This window comes from Homo sapiens, chromosome 14 (genome assembly GCF_000001405.40).
Source record: "Homo sapiens chromosome 14, GRCh38.p14 Primary Assembly".
Classification (NCBI taxonomy): Eukaryota; Metazoa; Chordata; class Mammalia; order Primates; family Hominidae; genus Homo; species Homo sapiens.
In genome coordinates this window covers 95,224,906-95,244,416 of record NC_000014.9, presented here as the reverse complement: position 1 = coordinate 95,244,416, position 19,511 = coordinate 95,224,906, and the positions used below count along the sequence as shown (strand labels likewise).

Sequence of the window (19,511 nt, the reverse complement as noted above, 5' to 3'; positions counted from 1 at the left end):
ACGGGCACAACTAGGACCAATAATTGGGAGTGTGAGGGTGACAGGTTTCAGTTCAGTATCTGAAAATTAGGCTACTAGAGCTGCCCAACTGTGGAACAGGCTACCTGAATAGGTACTGAGCACCTCATCCCGGGAGGCATTCAAGTAGACTCTGGCTGACTGCCTTGATGACAGTGTTGGATGAGAAGCTGTATTAGTCTGTTCTCGCACTACTGTAAAGAAATACCTGAGATTGGGTAATTTATAAAGAAAAGAGGTTTAATTGGCTCATGGTTCTGCAGGCTGTATAGGAAGCATGGCTGGGGAGGCCACAGGAATCTTACAATCATGGTAGAAGGCGAAGGGGAAGCAAGTACCTCTTACATGGCTGGTGCAAGAGGAAAAGAGAGAGGGGGAAGGTGCTACACGCCTTTAAACAACCAGATCTCGTGAGAACTCTATTGAGAGAACAGCACCAAAGGAATGGTGCTAAACTATTCAAAAGAAATCACCCCTGTGGTGCAATCACCTCCCACCAGGCCCCACCTCCAACATTAGGGATCACAATTTGACATGAGATTTGGGTGGGGACACAAATCCAAACCATATCAGAAGCTGCTTTTACTGAAAGGCCTCTCCAGTCAGAAAACTGGATTGTCGAGTGCTCCAATAAGCAGAGTAATTCTGGGTTCTTTGGTGCTAAAAAAAAAAAAAAAAATAGAGGAGATTACTCTCCTTGAACAAAATTTGATCTATTGAAAAATTTTACCTTGGATTTTTTTTCACCTATTTCTATTTAAACTTTACCGAAAAAAAAATCAAGGAATCATTTTTCTTCTCCATGCTCCCCTGGATTCTTCAAACAAAGGAAAAATTTTAGTAGGGGTTAGGTGAGGGAGGAGTGAGTGCTAGGACTGGATTTGAAAAGGTCAGTTGTTGAAGAAGGAAAACAGAGGCAATAATTATTTAAAAGCATGGTTGCCCAAATGTGATTTTCAGTACTGGTTTTGGTGATGGCGGGAGAAAATTCAAGTAGGGCTCCCTGACTTGCAAGTAACAAACACTTCTGCCTTTTCTAGTTCCCACAGACCTACCCCCAACACACACACCTATCACCCCATCAATCCACCACTGCTCTTTGATTTTCTCATAACAGTAAAGAGAATGCAAACAAATCTTTCCTTCTGAAGCCCAAAACTGGATCTTAAAATCTTAAAAGTTGGGCCATGAGCGGTAAGGACACCAGAAGAATCTAAAATGCCTGCTTAAATCAGGCAGTGAATCTTATGGAGTCTACAGCAGGGTTTGGCAAAGTAGGCCCACCACTTGATCATACAAAGAAAGTTTTGTTATAACACAGCCATACCCATTTATGCAGTGTTTTGGCAGCTTTCACACCATGATGATGACTTGACTCTATATGACAAAGACCATAGGGCCTTCAAAGTCTGCAACATTTACTATGTGGCCCTTAACAGAAAAAAAATTGCCAACCTCTAGCTTAGGGCAGTGGTTCTCAGCCCTGGCTCAGTGTCAGAATCACCTGGGGTACATTAAAAATAGAGATGCCAGGCTGGGCGTGGTGGCTCATGCCTGTAATCCCAGCACTTTGGGAGGCCAAGGTGGGCGGATCACGAGGTCTGGAGTTCGAGACCATCTTGGCCTATATAGTGAAACCCTGTCTCTACTAAAAATACAAAAAATGAGCCGGACATGGTGGCATGCGCCTGTAGTCCCAGCTACTTGGGAGGCTGAGGCAGGAGAATCACTTGAACTGTGGAGGTGGATGTTGTTGCAGTGAGCCGAGATCATGTCACTGCACTCCAGCCTGGCGACAGAGCGAGACTCCGTCTCAAAAAAAAAGAAAAAGAGATGCCAGGCTGGGCATGGTGGCTCATGCCTGTAATCCCAGCACTTTGGGAGGCCAAGGCAGGTGGATCACTTGAGGTCAGGAGCTCGAGACCAGCCTGGCCAACATGGTGAAACCCCATCTCTACTAGAAATACAAAAAATTAGCCAGGCATGGCGGTGCATGCCTGTAATCCCAGATGCTCGGGAGGCTGAGGCAGGAGAATCGCTTGAACCTGGAAGGTGGAGGTTGCAGTGAGCTGAGACTGCGCCACTGCACTCCAGCCTGGGCAACAGAGCCTGACTCCATCTCAAAAAAAAAAAAAAAAAAAAAAAAAAGAAAAAGAAAAAAGAAAAGAAATGCCTGAGTCCCCACCCCTAGGATTCAAATTCACTTAGTCTAGAATGGGACCCAGGCACCTCAATTTTTTTTTTTCAAATTTCCCCAGATGACCATCATGTGCACCCAGGACTGAGAATCACAGGTGTAATCCAAGTGGGTTTTTTAAGATTGCAGAACTGGCGTTTGTAACCTACAGGGTTTCTGCCCAGGAACAATGATCCAACTTCGACCTCAATGTCACAGTCTGGTTCTTGAGGTCTGAGCTATTGGGTCTGTGGCATTAGGGAGACCTTGTAATAACAAAAATCCCTTCGGGTACTCTGGTGACCAGACTTCCTTGAAAAGGTTGAAGGTGGTTGACATTACGGCGAGAGTGTGCGTGCGTGTGTGTTCCATATACACACACGCACACACACAGGCGTGCATGAGTGTATACATTTAGACAGTTTGTATATATAGATAACTTTTGTTTGTTTTCAAATGAATGCATTTCAGAAGGATCAGTTGGTGTCTGCAGCATTGGTATTGTCACATTGTCATAGCTCAGTCTCCTGGCTCCAGCTTACGCAGCCTCTGGTCTCTCTTGTGCTAATTAACACAAAATGTTGGTGACACTTCCAGCTCCAGGAGAACTTGACACCTCTTGCCTTTCTTCATCATAGTTTCCAGTCTTTACCTCTCCTGCTCAGGGTAGAAACTTCAGTTCATGCTGTTGTCACTTTTTGTTGGCAGGTAGAAGTTGCAAATGGGAATTTCTGGGTTTGTTTTGCCCCTTGCATTGAAAGCAAATATTAACCGCCTTGCCTTTCTCTTTGTTTTTCATGTGAATCCAGTTCTGCCTGTCCCAGCTGCTTTCCCCCTGGGGCATGCTCTCCTGGACATAGTAGCTGACTCCTAGCCAGAGTGGCCCACTTGTCCTGGTTTACCTAGGACTTTCCCAGTTTGAGCCCCAAATGTCCCATGCCCCAGGAGGCCCTTCAGTCCCAGGCAAATCCGGACAGTTGGTCACCATAATACTAGATCATCTCCCAGCTGATTGGCCTTTCCATGCACTTAAAAACACGGATGTTTACAGGGTGAGTGTGGGGTTTTATTAAAGACAGATGGGCTTAAAAATGCAAATCAGGGTCATTTGTATGAGGTTGTGTGTTTTTCACTTTTTTTTTTTAAATAACTGAACACAAGAGGTCAAGCTAATTCTTCTTGCTAGGCCTGTCAAGCTCTGTTCCTAAGGGACAACACAACAGATCACACCTTTCTTCCGCACTTGAGCCAATCCAGGCATGAAACAGATACTTCACAAAGGGCCTTCTCCAAGATGTTTGCTTTGAAGGGGTTCAAGCAGCCCGGCAAGGTGCCATGGAGGGGCTTGGCTCACAGTGACTAGAATAGACTCCTCTCCTGGCTGTACCACCAGCTACTGAGGCCAATCACTTCCCCTCTCTGAGACTCAGTTTCCTCATCTACATAGGAAACATGGCCACTCACCTGTTGAAGTGGTTGGGAGAATTACGAGGCTTTATAAAGGTTGATTTCCTCCCTTCCTTCCTTGCGCTTTGCCTAGTTCTTAGTCAAGGCGGGCTTTAGCCAGGGTGGGCAGCTGCTGTAATTACCACCCCACGTGACTGTGGCTTAACTCAGTGAATATTTATTTCTCACTCAACAGTCCAGCAAGGGTATTCCTCCTTGGATGGCTTTACTGGGTGATCCTTGTCCATGGGGAGACATGGGACCCCAGACTCCTTTCCTTTTATGGTTCTGTCTCCCCTCCAGGTCCATGGAGTCCTTCCATGCAGTGGTCACGAGGCATGGAGGGTTGTGTGGGATTTTGTTTGGGGCCATGTCTGGAAGTGGTATACCTGGAACCCACCCATGTTCTACTAGCTGGAACTTGGTCATGCCACACCATTCCCTGCATAGGAGGCTGGGAGATGTAGCACCGCTGTGTGCCAGAAAGGAGAAGGAAGTAGGGTTTGGTAAGCACATGGCTGGCTGTGAGCACCAGTGGGTCATCTTCCCCTGATTTATGAACATTTCTCTGTGCAGTCCTACATCGCTTCACAACAGGAATACATCCTGAGAATTGCACTGTTAGGCGATTTTGTTGTACAAACATTGTCGAGTGTGCTTACACAAAACTGGATGGTACAGCCTACTACACACCTCAGATCTATGGTGCAGCCTATTGCTCCTAGACTCCTGTATAGCTTGTTACTGTACTGAATACTGCAGGTAATTGTAACACAACAGTGTTTTCACATCTAAACAATATCTAAACATAGAAGAGGCACAGTAAAAAATAGATATAAAAGATAATGAATGGTATACCTGTATAAGACAGCTCCATTATAATCCCATGGGAACACCATTGTGTATGTGGTCCATCGTTGAAATGTCATTATATGGCACATGACTATTTCCAAAGCAGGATTCTGTAAGAACGTTGCGATTCATTTTACACAGAAATGGGGTCTGGGTTCAAATGCACTTAGTTTAAACAAAGTTAAACCAATTTCTTCATTGCAGGGCTTATCAGAGCCTCTCATTTACTGATCATAAATGATGCAAGGGGGCAGACTGTGTAATATGTTCCAAACTTAGCAAGCTCTTCCTTTTTGGAGGGGCATTTTAGAACTCATACTCTGTAGAATATGGCTTGGAAAACACTGCTTTAGATGTTGCTCGAGTTTATATTCAGAAACCGGAACACTTTCACAAAAACATTGGGATTAAAAGAAACCGCCAAAATCTGTGGTTCTCAACAGAGAGTTTAGTCCTCCAGGGATCATGGTCAGGGGCCCAGAAGCTGAATCCTTATAGAATGTAAAAAGCGAATACTTTTCTATCTCCATTCCATCTTTCCTTCCTTCCCTCCCTCTCTTCCTTCCTTCTTCATTTTCTTACCCATCTCCTTCCTTCCCTGCGTTCATTCCTTCTTCTCAAACCTGCCAAAGGAAGCCCATGAGGTCTATGTCTTAGTATTTATGCCTGAGTATAGTCATCAATGTCTGCTAACTGGGTGTGTGAGTGATGTGTTCAGTACTATTTCAATCCTTGTCTCAATTTCAGCCGGGCGCTTCAGGGCAGTCTGCCTGGATTGGTCCTGTCACCCTGGCCTGCCCATCTGGGTGAATGTTAAAATCCCTTTCTAAGCTTGTGTTTTTAATGGCTGGCTGGCGTCACCTGTCATAAATCAAGGTGGGCTGAGGTTTAGCACTGAGGTTAGACAGAATAACTCACAGCAAAACTAGAGCGGTTTTATTTTTCTATTTTAGTTATAGGCACCAGCCCTATATATATATAGCTTAAACTTAATTTGGTGTGTAATTGGGACTAGCTCTTTGGAGCCCTGGGTTATGTGTTTTGGAGCAGCTGAGAAGCGGGGCATGGTGGGGCAGGACATGGTATGTTAATTGGTGGCCTCTGGGACCTGTGAGAGAATTGGATTTAAGTCCCTAGTTAGAGTGAGCTTGGCAGTTTTATTTGAGTCTCTGCGGGCATGTATTGGGGAGACCACCGGTTTGTGCCGGCTGGAGCAGGTTACTCACTCTGTGCCCTGATGCCCGTCTGTGCCTCCCTGGTCAGCATGGTGGCAGGGGGTGGTGGAGGAGCCCAAGAATTTGGGTGGGGGAGGGCCTCTACAAGACTTGGCCTGCCACTTACCTGTAGTAGTTGCATGCTGCTTGGCGCATGGTCCCAAAGAGGGTTTTGCATTTTATTACCAAAGTCTTGATAAAAGGGACTTGGGTCAGAGCAAACATGAGGGGAGGAAAAACAAAGGAAATTAAATGCAAAATCACTGCTGGTGAAAAACCACATGGAGGCCTTGACTTTAATACCGCCAGAGCCGATGGGGGAAGTGGCCCCAAAGAGTCGGAACCGAAGGACGTTGGCCTGGTATTCCTGAAGCCTGGCCCCTCTCCTGTTTAAAAAGAAATTGCCATTTAATTTGTTTCTGAGTTTTATTTCTCAAGTGAACCAGCATGAGGCCATGTAATGAGGTTGTGTTTCTGGGAGGTGTTGAAAGATGGGGAAAGGAGCGAAACCACCAAGCGGGGCTGGGCCACGCCAGGAGTAAGGAGTGGCAGTGGGCCGTGGGAGTCGGCAGCGTTGGGGCTGGAGGGGCAGGCAGGGGCCGTCTGAGGGCTGGCTCCTCTACACACCGTCAGTGGGGCAGGGCTTGCCATTGTGTGGTCGGAGGGTGGGCCAGTTGGCTGGGCCGCCTCACTTGGCTCAAGAGAGGAAAGATGTTTTTTCATCTGGTTTAAAGATCCACAGGGGCTCGCTCAAGCTGATGGAGTGAGATTGCGTGGCTGATGTGAGCCAAGGACGCTTGCAGTTAGAAAGAATCTGAGCCATGGAGAAAAGGAATCCTTGGGCAAGGAGGAGAAGGGGTTTCCCAGAGAGCAGAGGTCAGCTCAGACCAAGAATGAGCAAGTGCATGTAAAGCATCTCGGGAGGTCACTTATATAAAAGGTTGGGCAAGAGATTTCTAGACCAGGGAGCATCAGAGAAGCCTCCAGAGCCTGCCACCCATGGGGCTGCGGCTGTCCTCTGGTGCCGAGACGGCTGTGAGACGCTGGGCTTCTTGGGAAATGACACCTGGGGCATGGGAGCAGATGGGTGCCAAGGTCTTCTTCCCTCTGCACAAAACTGGAGCAAAGTTGCAAAGTGTGAGGCCTCCTGCCACCCTCCCTCTCCTGGCCTCCCGGACAGTGGATGGGGACCTTTGCTCTCAAATGATCCTCCCAGTGGTAACAGAGAGAACCCAGGGTAGCCAGTCCCTCTCTGCCACGTGACCATGCTGTCCCAGCGCTTAGTGTGTGACCCCATGGCACACACACACATAACCCCTGGGGTTCAGGTGGGATCCACCTTCTCTGCTGCCCCAAGCTCTGACTCCGGCTGCCTCCTCCCAGCCTCTGCAGGTGCCGGGTCTACTTGTCTAAAGGCGCTTGGCTTTGTGAGGATTGCGAAAGGCACTCCGCCCATCTGCAGGGCCTCTGTGCATGGCCGTGATGTGCTGTAAATTGGAAGAACAGATTAGTCTGTTTACTACACAACTTTTTTGCACCTGGCGTGCACAGGCTTCATTGTCTCTTCAACAGCCCCAGGAGGGAGTTATTATCTCCATTTTACAGGGTAGTCCAGTAACTTGTCCAAAATGAGCAATCATAGCCACGGCTGCATCTATTGAGCACTTACGATGTGCCAAGGTCTTTGGCCCGTGCCAAGGTGTTTGGATGCTTTATCCCATAGAGGCCTCGTCATAGCTGTTCTTCCTTCTTGCTGTCACCTGCTTGCATGCTCTCCCTGGCTGCCTAGTGCCTGACGAATAACTACAGCAGCCCCTCCCCACACCATTCCCACAACCCCACATGGTATGGCAAGGACAGCGCTAATAAACTTGGTCCTCACAACCTCATGAAGTGGGTACCATGATCCCTGTTGTACAGATAGGCAAACTGAGGCCCCAAGTACAGAACTGACATTGTCCAAGGTCACTCAGAGGGGCTTGTTGGCAGAGCCCTCCTGTTGCTGAAACTCTTCTCTGTCTTCTGTGGGAGAAAGGTCAAGATAGGATCAGTGTGGGGTAGTCACACAGGCCCCCCAATGGCCTCTGCCCCTGGCAGTGTTGCCACTCTGAGCCGGGTCATTGTGTGATCTGGGGCTGTCCCGTGCATGGCAGGATGTGGAGCAGTGCCCCTGGCCTCTGCCCGCTGGGTGCCAGCAGCCCCTCCCCCTCAGTCGTGGCAATCAAAAACATCTCCAGGCATTGCGGGATGTCCCCTGGGAGCCATCACCCCGGGCTGAGAACCACTGGTTGAGAGCCAGGCCTTGAGGGATTCCAAGCTGCGCGAGATGTTCTGGGTGGGGGCATGGGGTGAGGAAAGCTGGGAGGCCAGAGTAGTTCCTGGAGGGGGGTTTGGAGCATTGAGACCCCCCGCCTGGCTGAAGAGCACATGCCCCCAGGACGCTGCAGAACAGTGGGAGGTGCACCACACAGCACCTCAGCCGTCACGTGTTCAAATCCTGGCGTTTCACTGAGCGGCCATGTTCCTAAGCTCTCTGTGCCTCAGACTCCTTACCTGTAAAACGGGGACCACATGAGAGCAGCTGCGCAGGAATGTTTGAGGCTTACAGAAGAGACAAGTTATTGCATGGGAAGTGGCGGCTGCTGTCAAGCAGCTCCCTTGAGGACCTTCACTGCCCCGGTTGGCAGGGCAGGCTCACCCATTCAAATGTCTCCTTCTCTACAGCAGCTTGGTGGCAGAGGGAAGGTGGGCTTTTTGCCCCCCATGCTGTGCTGCAGCTCACCCATCCTGGTGGCAGGTTCAGGGAGCCTGGTACCCCTCCGCCTCCTGCATGCCCGAACGTCTGGGCGAGCGCGTGTAGAGATGAAGCCACGTCTCACCCCCTTTGTCTCCCTCCCCTCTCCCAAGCAGCGTCTCGGAAGCTGGAAACACTGGCCCCGGTGGACCTGTCTGGATGGACGTCAAAGAATACGGCTCCCATGCGGAAATTCTGATCTGCTGTCCACCTAGGCAAAACACCTCTCATGAGAATCAGATTCTGTCCAACTGTATGAATTCAGTGACTAAAGCCATTTGCCGATGGCCATTGTCAGGAAGAGCCCTTTAGACAAAGAAGGACAGAAAATGACCATTTTTTGGCCCAGTGCCCACGAGTCATTCCCTTTGCAATATCTCACTTAATTGTTTCAAGTGACTGTTAAGCCTGGGGTCTGTGGTGGAGCCTGTGTGTCTGGCTCTAGACTGCCTGGTCTTTGTCCTATGCCAGGCTGAGGTGCTCATTGTCATTCTCTACCCCACCCAAAGATGACCAAAAAATGATGCTAATCATCTCCTCTGGCTAAGATTTAAGTTTCCAAACTGTGCATCCTCATCAACTGGAGAGCTGGCTAAATGCAGATTCCCAGGCCCCGGCCCCAGTGTGAGGCAGTAGGTCTGGAGTCCAGGAATTGGCATCTTAATTGTCATCCCAGAGGCTCATGACGTTAGTGACCCATGTGGGCCACACGTTGAGAAACTCTGAGCCATTTACTGATCACGTTTAAATTGTATACATGAGTACATGTGCTTGCTCTGTGTGTGTGTGTGTGTGAGAGAGAGAGAAAGAGAGAGAGTTTTCTCTGGGCATAATGAAATGTCAAGCAATTTTAGATATTTTTCTCTATGCTTTTCTGTATTTTAATTTTTTACAATGAGCTTATAATTTTTTATGAGCAGATAAAGCCATGAAGACTTTCTCCTGGGCAACAAAGAGCAGAAATATTATCAATATGTAGAAAGTAGATTTGGGGCAAATGTGGACATAGAGACAAAAAGCCACAACTGTAAATAAACATTTTAACTCCTAATGCGTGCATCCCTTTCTCTGTGACTCTGAACTCCTGAGCCAGCCACGGACAGCCTGGAGAAGAGAGGAATGTCCCACCTCCCATTTTCAAGTGATCTGTTCTTGGCAAAGCAGAGCTAAAGACACACCTAGGAATTTGGGCTGGTGCGGCTGAGCCAGGGCCAGGCCTCCCTCCCTTCTGTCTCGGCCCCTGGAGTCCAGGCCTGGCCAGTTTCTGCTCCTCCACCCGGCCCGGCACTTGGGCATCCTGGCCAGCCAGGCAGAGCCAGGGATGGCGATTTTACAGCACTTTTATGACTCTATCCTTGCCCATTAAACCCACACCGGGCCCCACAAACACTCTGTGAGAAGGCCAGGCCCTTCCAGAGAAATGGTTTCCTACACCTTTACAATGTGATAGGAAAAAAGGGGCCGTTGGATTTATGGAAACTGTATAAAGTTTATGGAGTCTTGGCAGGCCAGAAGTAGCAAGAGTCTGCAGGATGGGGGGTGGGCGTCTCAAAGCGGAGAAGGCCATGAAAGAGCCGCAGACCTTCGTGTCGAGACACCAGTCAAAACGCCGGTGACCAGAGCAATGCTGGGGGACCCTGGGGACGGAGGAAACTGGCCTTGCTTGCGGCAGCAGCTGTGGGGGTGCTTTCTGGGCTGATATCATTTAATCTCCGTAGCATTCCTGTGAGGGAGGCATGGCCAACCTCATTCTGTGGAGGGGAGACCAAGGCAAAGGTGTTTTGAAAATTGCAAGTGTGCCCAAGGTCGCCCAGCCAGTGGTGCGTGGCGCTGAAGTGGATGTTCTGGGGCGGGCTTGAGTTCTCGCAGTCTCTCCTGTGTATTGAGCAATGCGTCCCAGTTTTAGGTCCAGATAACATGGTGTCCACACTCTGCTTCAGTTTGGGACTTGTCTGCTATTTGTGGTTTTCTCAGGGTCCCCTGGGGTCCTTCTGTCAGCCCCATCTGCCTCTGTGGGTCAGCTTTGCTGTTGAAGCTGATTTGTGCTCAGGCCAGCCTGCTGGCCTTGGCTAGAGCAGAAGTGAAACCACCCAGAGGGGTTGGCTCTGAATCAGGACAGGGTTAGAACAGAGTCTTTGCCTGTGGCCACCCCCCGCCTTGTTCCAATTCTGCCAGCAGAGCCTCTTAGGGCCCTGCAGGAGTACCTCACGGGGTCTGAAGTCACCTTTTCCAGTTCCTGTCAGCCTTCAGCATTCTAATCCATTTCTCCTTGCATATACACCTTGTGGCAGCCATGTTTTCTCTCTTTTACTTATTTGGCTGTGAATTCTTGGAGTGCAGATTCCATGAATGCTTAATTCTTCATCTCTGGTTTTGCCCAGAGAGCCTATCATAATTTCCAGAATATGGTAATTACTGCATAAATATCTGCTGGGAGGATGAACAGATGATTGGATGGATGGATGGATGGATGGACAGATGGATGAATGGATGGATGGACAGATGGATGAATGGATGGATAAATGGATGGTTGGATAGATGGATGGCTGGATGGATGGATGGGTAGGTGGATGGATGGATGGGTGGATGGAGGGATGATGGATGGATGGATAGATGAGTTATGTGTAGACTGTCAGATACCCACCTCCTCATTTACACCCTTGAGTGTAGTTAAACTAGCAGCCTAACCCAGGTTCTCTGAGGCTTTTACTAAATGCACTTCTGTTTCAGGGGATATACTTTGCTCTCTCTGAAGCCATATGGAGAAACCAGCCTGAGTGTTTGAATGTGTGTGTAAATACTTTACAGTCCCCATAAACTTGTTTAAAGACAGGTGGGGGTAAAAGCATAAACCGGGACAGCCTTGTGGGAGGGCAATTTGGAAGTAGCTATTAAAATTTTTAATGTGCCTACCACTAAGACCCAGCAGTTCCACTTTTAGTTGTCACGGGTAAGAAATATATTCATATGTTTGTGCACAAAGAACCAGGATGCTCATACAATGCTTGTTTCTGCATTGCTCGAAACAGTGAAAAATGGGCAGCAGTCTTGATGTCCATCCACAGGGGGAACAACCAGACTATGGAAAACACTGTAGCCATCAGAGAGAATAAAGTGGATCCATATTGCAAAGTGGAAGGATCTCCGATAGAGCTTGGGACAGACACTCTCTGAGCTTCCGGGAGTCTCCAAGACTCTGGTACTCACTGGTCTCAGCACATGTCTCCTCCCAACCTCATTTCTATTAACTTCTTTTCCTTCTCCCTTCCCTCTCACCCGTGAAACACAGTTTACTGGAATTCGTTCTTTAATTCTTATGCCTATTAGCCAGTGACCCTCCCTTACAGAAAAGGAGGAAACTGAGAGAAAAGCAGTGATGTACGTAATTACTGTCTGCTGGTTCTTCAGTTAAAAATATTGTAAGGCATAATATTGAAACGTGATTTATGGGTGCCACATTCTGCCAAATAATGAGGCCAAGAGGAAAAAAGTCCCGTTGTTACAGAAATCCATAAGCTTTGCTCTCCTGCAGGAGATCAATTGGCTCTCATTTTCTTATTGCTAAAGAAATTTGGAATCGTTTTAGGCATATGTGATATGGTCTTTCAATATGTTGAAATCCAGTAGCTGAGGAGCCGTCTGGCTCAGATATTGAAGGAAGTTTCCTGGAGGCGTGGCAGCTCACAGCCGAGGAGGCTGCAGCCTCAGGCCACCACGCACCCTCACCCAGACACTGGCACTGGGGCCCATCTCAGAAACACCCTCCGGGTGCTCGAGGGCCCAAGACAGCTAAGGCCACAGAACTCAGGAGAGAGCAGAAAAAGCACAGAATGGAGTTCCACCTGGGCTGTTTTATTAACTATTTGCCCCTCCGTTTCTTCATCTGTAAAACAGAAATGATAACCTTACTATTAATTGTGTGACCTTGGACAAGTTACAACATCTCCCTGGGCGCGATTGTCCCATCTGAAGGTCATAATAGCACCTGCCACAGAGGATGGTAGTAAGGATTAAATTAGTTAATCCATGTAAATTACCTAGGTAAGTGCCTGCCATATAGCAAGTGCTTGGTACTTTTTTTTAAAAATCACTGTTATGACTATTGCAGACACCTTTGCCATGATTGGAATAGCTGGAATCCAAACTCAAGCCTTCCATTTCCAGGGTTCTGGCTGGTGTGGGGCTGACAGACCTGGATGGGGATTCCCAGCTCTGCCTCTCTTCAGCTGAGCAAGTCACTGGAACCTCTCTGAGCTGCATTCTGTTCAGCTGTAAAATAATAGTTTGTACTTTGCAGGGGTGTTGTAAGGCAGTGGTCTCCAGCCTTTTTGGCACCAGGGACCAGTTTTGTGGAAGAAAATTTTTCCATGGACAGGGTGCTGAGGGGGATGTTTTCAAGCTCCTATGAGGATTTAATGCGGCTGGGCGCGGTGGCTCACGCCTGTAATCCCAGTACTTTGGGAGGCCGAGGTGGGCGGATCCCGAGGTCAGGAGATCGAGACCATCCTGGCTAACATGGTGAAACTCTGTCTCTACTAAAAATACAACAAAAATTAGCCAGGCATGGTGGTGCGCGCCTGTAGTCCCAGCTACTCTGGAGGCTGAGGCAGGAGAATGGCATGAACCCGGGAGGCGGAGCTTGTAGTGAGCCGAGATTGCGTCACTGCACTCCAGCCTGGGTGACAGAGCTAGACTCTGTATCAAAAAAAAAAAAAAAAAAAAAGTTAGAGGATTTAATGCCTCTGTTGATCTGACAGGAGGCGGAGCTCAGGCCGTGATGCTCGCTTCTCACCACCTGCTGTGCAGGCCAGTTCCTAACAGGCGCGGACCAGTACTGGTCCATGGCCTGGGGGTTGGGGACCCCTGTTGTAAGGTTTAAAGATGAATGGAAACAAAGTGTCCGGGACGCAGTGAGTGCTTGGCGGATGGCAGTCGCCCTTGGCAGTGAAAGATCTTTGCTAAGAAGCCTCTTTGGGTAATGCTCTCCCCTGGGAGAAGGGGTCCATTCCTGGTTTATGTCCTTCGGTTCACATTGGCTCAGCAGCAAGCGCCTGCAGAACTCTTTATTCCTGGAGGGTGCAAAGTCTGCCCTGGCTCTAGAAATAATAGCTACAAAGAAAAACCACTGGCAGCCCCTGTGCCAGGGACTGTGTGGAGTTGGCTCTGCAGGAGCCTGGGTATCCTTAGAGCAGCTTGGAGAGTGAGCTCCTCATCCTCCATGTGCAGATCAGACATGCGGGTGGGGGTCTGGCCCGGGCACACAAAGCTGGGAGATGACAGGGCTCAGAGTCTGATCTTGGGCTGTCCAATCCCTTTCACCACACTGTGGCACATTCCAGAGCCCCTATCCAATTCCTAATTATCGGCTCCACTCCACCCCGACCCTGACTGCCCTCTCCCATCTCCTCATGCCCATCACTGCCACTGGGTGACCATGCAGTCCCATTACAGCCTCTTGTGGGGTTGATTTGTAGTTTTGTCTCCAGTGCTTCTTAGCCTGAACTGTCAGATGTCTAAATGTTTGAATTGGGTTGTAGAGAACATTTTGTTCCATGTGTCTGAATCTGTGGGTTTACATAGATGCTCAGGGGTTGGGCTGGGGAGCATGGGTTGTGGGTGCCAGGTAAGGCGTTGCCAACCCCTTCCAGAAAGGCCTCTGTTCTTACATGGGACACCCTGGGGTTCTGTCTGCCCTCCACCTAGAATCTCCCCTTGGGAAGGGGAAGGTGTGATTTTGCACATACTTCTTATTCTCCCAGCTGATGGTATGTCTTTGTTTTCAGTTGAGAGGGAAAATGTGCAGAAGAGGACCTTTACACGATGGATAAATCTACATCTAGAAAAGGTAATGGCGCACTTGGGTGTTTGCTAAGTGATAGATTCATCTGTAACTGAATTTACAGTTCCAGAGAGTGGAGGGGGAGCTGGTGACCTGTGCTCTTTCTGTTGTTCATTCATTTAAACATTTATAAGTGCCTCCCCCTGCCGGTTACCAAGCTCAGGATTGGGAAGAGATGACTGAGACACGGCTCTGCCCTCCTGGGGTCATCATTCTTATCAGGGGAAGGAAAGAGAGGGTCTGTCTTTAAGTAGGAATCTGAGCAGATGGTGGAAGACGTTCATTATTGAACACACCAACACCTGAAACTCAGGTGCGCATCTTGATTGCCAGACCCGGGATCTGTGAAGAGCCAAGAGCCATTTGTAGGTATTGGGCAAAGCTAGATTTCCTTCTAAAGTCACATAATGTTGCTATTTAATAATAATAATAGTAATAATATTATTACCTGCCCCTTCACTCTGCATCAGGCATCCTGCATAGTGCCACACACACATGCCATGTCTCCTGTCATCCTCATGACGACTTGAATTACCCCCCTCCTATCAGAAGGAGGAAACAGAGGCACGGAGACATAATGTGGCTTTCCTGAACTTTCCATGGCTTCTCCTCTGTATTCAACTTAGTGGCCCTTCTATTCCTCTGTTTCTTTCTCTTCTTGCATTCTTTGGCCCGGCTGTTTTGAGTTGCATTTTGTTTGCAAGCATCTCATGCACACACCATAAAACAAAAGCAGCTGAATCAGCTCCCCACTTGAAACAGACTAAAGGAAGAGCCACAGAGGAGAGGCAGTGATGGGAAGGGATGAACAGCTCTGGGTGAGAAGGGGGATGGGAGCAGGCAGAAATCTCAGCCCTCCTGGTGCATGAGGTTGGATGGACCTCAAGACTGTGGGCCTGGGGCTGGGAGAGGAGAGATTATTTTTCTCTTTTTTAGAAAGTTGATTTTTTATCTACTCACTTCACCTCTTTCTCCTTAAGCACCACTATCTGGTTCTCCATCTATATCCAGCAAGTAGTCTCAATTCTGTTTGAAGCTAGTAGCACCCCACTTTCATGTTTGTAGGTAATCGTCTCTCTTCTCCTCTTAAAAGGTTCAAGAGAGGCCGGGCACAGTGGCTTATGCCTGTAACCCCAGTGCTTTGGGAGGCTGAGGCAGGTAGATCACTTGAGGTCAGGAGTTTGAGACCAGCCTGGCCAGCATGGTGAAACCTTGTCTCTACTAAAAATACAAAAATTAGCTGGGCGTGGTGGCTCATGCCCGTAGTCCCAGCTACTGGGGAGGCTGAGACTGGAGAATCGCTTGAACCCAGGAGGTGGAGTTTGCAGTGAGCTGAGATCGCACCACTGCACTCCAGCCTGGGCGGCAGAGCGAGACCCTGTCTCAAAAAACAAAACAAAAGGTTCAAGAGTAACTATTGACTGCCTTTATGGTTAACACAAAAGAAAGGTTCTTAGAAGAAATCACTGAAATGATTAGAAAGCAGAGAAAATAAATGTGGCTTTTAGGAAGTGGAGCTCTTGACCTCAATTCTAATTCACATAGTTTATCTTTAGGTCTAGGATATTGCCCGAGCAGGCATTCGGCCACCCACACCTCCACTCCTGACGTGTAGAACATGTGACGCAGTGCCACCACTTCACCCAGGAGCATCCTGAACTCTACGGGTGAAAGATTGTATCGCAGATGAAGCTTATAAATCATCAACCAGTTGTTTTGATTATTGGCACATTTTCGGCAATGCTCCTAAAGTGAAGTGTTATTTTGGGGAAAAAAGCAAAAGGAAAACTTGTCCCCAAACCTGAGATCACTGAACTCTTAAATTAATGCCTGATGTGTGTCAGGGTAGCTGGAAATTCCTGCTGGGGGACACACTAGAGCCATGGAGTATTTCTTTCTTTCTTTTTTAAAAAATTAAAATAAATAAATACAGAAAAGTACAGAGGGTCACGTGGTGAATATACCCGCACCCACTCACCACCCCAAATGAACCTCTGTTCGCATTTATCATATCAAGGATTTTCTCCCTGGTCAAATTCCTGCCCCTTTCTCAGGGCAGGTGGGTAGCGCCGACTCTGAAAATAAATCAGATAGCACCTGAAACTGATGTCTAATAAACAGGGCAAAATTAACAGCCACGTTTCCAACCTTGAGACTTTCAAGAACAACCTTGCATGTAAAGGAAACCCAGGAACTCCTTGGTGAATTGGGCTTAACTGCAATTTGAAGGCTGTCAGAAATATTTACTGAGTCTCTGGCTTCTGGAAAAATTCCTTAATTTACCGAAGGAGTTAGATCATGAAGAAAGCCCTGGGGGTGCTGTTTATTCGGCCATACCAATCTCATGAAGCCCACAGAGCGTTTGGGGCCCAAGGAGTGTTTTCCCTGGCGCAGGTTCAATTTCTCCCCCTGCCATCTCGCAGGATGGACTCCGGCCAAGGCCCTGTTTGCTGCTGCTGCTGAGGCTCTTATAGGAACTGTCAATGGAAATTATTCTTCAGGTTTAACTCAGAAGTAAGGCTTGGCCACGGCCGGGGCTGGTAACTGGAAATGTTGTTAGTCCATTTATCAGGGGGTATTCCGTTCGGGTCTCGCGTTTTCTGCCTCGCATTAACAGGAATAACATTTCCGTAAGAGCCTCAGTAACCTGATCCCGTCATGCTCAGGGTGGAAGGTGCCCAAGGAGCTGCGGCAGTTTGCAAAGAAAATAATTTGCCTTTTGGTTCAAAGTCGCTGTTGCCCTTGAAGCGAAGCCCTTTTCTGTGCACCTGCGGGTGGAATTGCCCTGTATTTTGACTAACTGGGGGTAAAGGGACTCGTATAAAGGGTAAGGAAATGCCACCTTCCTCCATAAAAAATGAAACACAGGCCCTCCACGGCTGCCACGGGAAGGAGGCTTTCCCACAGGGAAAGGGTGGCTGGGCCACAGTTCCACTGTTTCCTGCCCCTGGGTCTCTGGCTGGTTATGGCTGCCACCCTCCCGTTGGCCTCAGGAGCTCCATGCCCCATTAATCCTGTCTCCCATCAGGAGCTCCATGCCCCATTAATCCTATCTCCCATGTGAATGCCCAGCCTTCCCCTGTACCCAGGAGCAGAGACAGCACCCAGACCAGCTGCTCTAACCTTGCCAAAGCCCCCAGTACAAAAAGGTAAACAGGAAATTCATGCCGGGGTGGAAGCTTATTAAGAATCGGGTTTCGGCCGGTCATGGTGGCTCACGCCTGTAATCCCAGCCCTTTGGGAGGCCAAGGCAGGAGGATATCGCATGAGCCCAGGAATTTGAGACCAGCCTGGGCAACACAGAGAGACTCCATCTCTACAAAAAGTTTAAAAAATTAACCAGACGTGATGGCACGTGCCTGTAGTTCCAACTATTTAAGAGGCTGGGATGGGAGGATCACTTGAGCTAAGGGTTTGAGACTGCAGTGAACCGTGGTCATGCCACTGCACTCCAGCCTGGGCCACAGAGCAAGATCTCATCTCAAAAAAAAAAGAAGAAGAAGAAAAATGCAAGTTTCTGGACCCTGCTCCCAGAGATTCTGTTGCGATTAAAAGGAGTTATTATCAAGCTTGTTTAGACAGTAGAAACCTTTCTTCAAGCAAAGCATTACCTAGAACCGTAAATGTAGTCATCCCTCCTTCTCTGTGGGTTCCACATCTGTGGCTTCAACCAACAGCAGATAAAAAATATTCAGAAAAAAAAAACTGCATCTGTACTAAACAAGTACAGAGTTGCTTCTTGTCATTACTCCCTGAACGATAGAGTATAACAACTATTTACTTTGCATTTACACTGAATTAGGTATTATAAGTAATCTAGAGGTGATTTTAAGTATATGGGAGGATGTGCATAGATTATATACAAATACTGTGCCATTATATATCAGGGACTTGAGCATCTGCAGATGTTGGTACCTGAGGGAAGTCCTGGAACCGATCCCATATAGATACTGAGGGGTGACTGTACAGGCCAGTAAGAGCTGAGCCTCTCTGATTAAAGCGGGTGCAGTGGGATCAGCTGCCTCCACCATCCCCCTCTCCCCTATAGGGTGTCCTAAAGCTGCTCTGCTGAAGCCTAAGGTTCCGGGGAACAGAGTTTGCAAATCCTCACACTGGAGCATCTAACCCACAAGTTCCAGCCAGTTCTTCAGACTCCCGGCCACGTCCAGCCAAGCTCCTAGCAGATACCGTGTGGAACCAAACAGTGTCAGTTCACTTGGACAGCAGACCCCTCCCAGGTCTAGGCCCAGAGAGGAAAGCCCAGGGGGCTTCTGGCTCTTTTCCTTCCCAGGCCCCCCTCCACACTCTAGATCCTGTTTAGGGAATTGCGTTTCCCCTCAGGGAGAAGGAAGTAGTCTACGGGAACTGAGGCTGGGGCTTCTGTTACTGACCCAGGGAACCCAGAAAGTGAGTGAGTGGGGCAGAGAGAAGGTGTTTCAAGAGCCGTTCACTACAAAGGGGCCGCCAGCTGAGGACATCTCCCTTCCACTGATGGCCACAAGGCATACACCCTCTGAATGAAATGTCTTCCTGAGGAGGGCATCCCAAGGCTCTGCAGGCAGGATGCCACTTAGCAGTCAGCAGGTGGGAATGGGCCGGGTAGGTGGGGGCTGTGCCAGGCTCCCTACCTGCATGATCTCATTGCATTCCAGCCCAGTCCTCTGACGAGGGTCAGATTCCTCACCTGACATTGCAGACAAGTACACTATCTTTGTGCAAGTGTGCAAGGTCAGGTTAGGCCCAGGGAGGTTAAAGAACATTCCCAAGGCCAAGTTGCTATCAAGGTAGAGCCTGGCTTTGAACTCAGGTGTGTCTAACGGCCTTGCTTCTCGTTGGCTCATGTGAGGTGCAATGTTGATTTATCTCAGGAAGCTGGATTTTGTGGAGGAATAGAGGAGTAACATGCAGCTTTTTTTTTTTTTTGGTACAACTTTAATGAGTTAGATTTGTAATAATGAGCTTGTATTGCTTTTGTACCTAAACATATAAATACACATACACATATACATGGACATGTAAATCGACCTCTGAACCTTTGAGTTCCTAGTAAGTCTACACACGTGGGGTGAGGAAAGCCTTCTTCCCTTCACCCAACCATTGAGCCATTCAGCAGGCCAGCTGTGTCCTGCCAGCCACCTGCTCTCCTAGCCAAGTCTCACACACCAGCCCCCT

The 19,511-nt window shown here is 48.5% G+C and overlaps 1 protein-coding gene across 5 annotated transcripts in view, besides 1 other annotated feature; it reads left to right on the top strand.

Annotated features, from left to right (window-relative positions):
- The window catches only part of CLMN (calmin), a 137,969-nt gene that overhangs the window by 75,492 nt on the left and 42,966 nt on the right, over positions 1 to 19,511 (top strand). For all 5 annotated transcript variants that reach the window (NM_024734.4, XM_011537158.2, XM_017021646.2 and 2 more), the window contains exon 2: positions 14,284 to 14,345. In NM_024734.4, coding sequence (NP_079010.2) covers positions 14,284 to 14,345 — 62 coding nt within the window. The remainder of the gene's footprint in view (positions 1 to 14,283; positions 14,346 to 19,511) is intronic.
- Positions 10,298 to 10,617: an enhancer, noted in NCBI's record as "active region_8950". NCBI's record gives its function as "activates an Ori minimal core promoter by ATAC-STARR-seq in GM12878 lymphoblastoid cells {active_cell/tissue: GM12878}" and the evidence as "EXISTENCE:reporter gene assay evidence [ECO:0000049][PMID:35858748]".